Source organism: Homo sapiens, chromosome 2, assembly GCF_000001405.40.
Source record: "Homo sapiens chromosome 2, GRCh38.p14 Primary Assembly".
NCBI classification, from domain to species: Eukaryota; Metazoa; Chordata; class Mammalia; order Primates; family Hominidae; genus Homo; species Homo sapiens.
Genome location: NC_000002.12, coordinates 207,071,715 through 207,074,136, shown reverse-complemented (window position 1 = coordinate 207,074,136; position 2,422 = coordinate 207,071,715). Strand labels below are relative to the sequence as shown.

Genomic DNA, 2,422 nt, shown 5'->3' with positions numbered 1-2,422 from the left:
CCGTGGCTAGTGTGACTGAATTTGCTGCATGGACACAGACATTTCTCATGTCCCTGAACAGGAAACAGGTGTCAGGAGTGTAACAGCGGGTTTGGAAGGGAAGCTGAGTGATCAAGTTCTTGCTCTCATAAAACTCAAGGTGAAGAGAACAGTAGGTGCTGCAGGGGCCGGGAAAATGGTTTTGAAGTGTTAAGCATCAGCTGCCACATCTCCCGAACAGGCAAGTGAGCTGGGCAACACGGCAGCTCAAAGCTGACTGAGAAGAAACCACATGTGTAGTGGGGAAAACACAGCCCCTGGAGTCTGAAGACCTGCCTCCTACTCCCTGTGTCTTCAGTAGCTCTGGGACTAGATGAGTAATTTCATTCTGATAACCAAAATCATTTACCTGGAAATTTCTCTGAGTGAGGAAGGATAAGATAGCTTGGCAATATTACCTAGAAGAAGGCTCATTATTCCACTCCCTGACTTACAAAAAGATATCACATTGAACATTTTAGGTGAAGGACAAATTGCACTGTACTGAAATGTTCAGACAAGAGGGTGGTAAGTCTAATCTATCTGCCATAAGGAAATGAGATGGTTTACATAAGTGAATATGCTAAAAGACTTAAGCTTACATATTTAGAAATGAAATTTTTGCTTAAGACTGGTCTAAATATATATATTGCCCACTTTACAACCTTTTTGAGCATCCATTTTTACAATATAATATAAATTCAGGGATGACTCCAGACTGCCGGGTTGCTTGCCCTGGCACAAAATGACTCTATACTTTATATTGGGTGATTCTACTTTCTCTTCTGTGTTCTCCCTATTTAGAAGTTGCAAGTTCTTTGTGTGTCATCTTCTAGAAATATTTATCTCCTAGTCAACTAGACGATCAACTAGGCAAGCTTGGTAACAAGAATTCTTAAGTGCAAAAACAACTATAATTTGAATCCAACAGGCAGTAGTCTGAAAGTGTAACCTGCATGTCCTAGGGGGAAGAAGGTGCGTACCAGCTATAATCTGTGGTTGTATATGGAGTTGGGAATGCTGGGGTAATGGAAAGAAGTCTCATAAAAAGCAGAGTTCAGTGGAATTGATAAATAATTTATTATTTGTAGCTCATTTTCCACTTACAGGTTTAGAAGAGGAGATGGTTAAAACTTTTAGCTAAAATAAGATTTTGAGGTCACTGGCAGGTGATGGTTTTCTGTTTTATCCATGAGCCAATTCCTAATTCCTTCTCCAACATTAAATATTTTATCTGAGAGTTTAAAAACTATCAACAGTTACTGGCTTGAACTTAACCTATTAACTTTTTTGCCTGATCATGATATAGCTATACATACAACAACACTATATTTAAAAATGAGGAAGTGATGACAAAGTTACAGGAGGGTGGAAGAACAAAATTTATGTTTGTTTTATAAACATTTACTTATGTTTCTGAAATTTTTCATTTTACGTACACTGCATTTGAGTAGTCCAATAAGACTGCATACACTGAATAGGTATTATTCATCACCATGACCATTTGCTCTCACAAATGGTAAAACTGGGGGCACAGAAAGACAAATATTGCATTATCTCACTTATATGCAGAATCTAAAAAAGTTGAACTCATAGAGAGTAGAATCGTGGTTACCAGGGGCTTTGAAGTGAGGAGGGGTTGGGGAGATGTTGGTCAAAGGATGTAAAATTTCAGTTCTACAGGAGGAATACAAGGATCTATTGTACTACATGGTCACTATAATCACTGGAAATGTATTTGTGCAAAAATCACTAAGAGAATAAATTTTAAATGTTCTCACCACAAAAATGGTAAGTATATGAGGTAATGCATATGTTAATTATGGCTTGACTGAGCCATTCCACAATGTATACACATTTTAAAACAGGTTGTTTACAATAAATATATATGATTTTTATTTGTCAATTAAAAACATAATTCAAAAAACAAGTAGAGAAACTGGGCTTCAAAGAGAGTAAGTGACTTGATCAAGGCCCAGGGAACACAGTAAGTGGCAGACTTTTCTCTATACCTCACTGCTTCAGGGTGAGGAGGAGTCAACTTGATGCTTATGTACATGATGTCTCCAGACATAGTATCACGATTGACATCATTTCCCCATTTCCACCTCACTAGACACAGAAGGTAACCTGTAATATCAATAGCATCACCACATGCTACCATGGGAGGCGATCTTGGCAATCTCCTTCAATGTCACCGTTCTACTTCAGTCAACTGAGGTTCAGAGAGGTTCCAACTTGTCCAGGGTCATATAGTACGTCCTTTGCACAACAGGAGTAAATCCAGGGCTATTGATATGCGGTGATGCTCTCCTGGACTTGGCAGTGTTTCTTAAACTGCAGTTACTTGAGCACAGCCTTCAAGATTCTTTTATTATCCTTGCACTATTTATTACTTCTTCAA

The 2,422-nt window shown here is 38.3% G+C and overlaps 1 annotated feature.

The window, feature by feature from the left end:
- Positions 2,145 to 2,214: an enhancer, noted in NCBI's record as "active region_17029". NCBI's record gives its function as "activates an Ori minimal core promoter by ATAC-STARR-seq in GM12878 lymphoblastoid cells {active_cell/tissue: GM12878}" and the evidence as "EXISTENCE:reporter gene assay evidence [ECO:0000049][PMID:35858748]".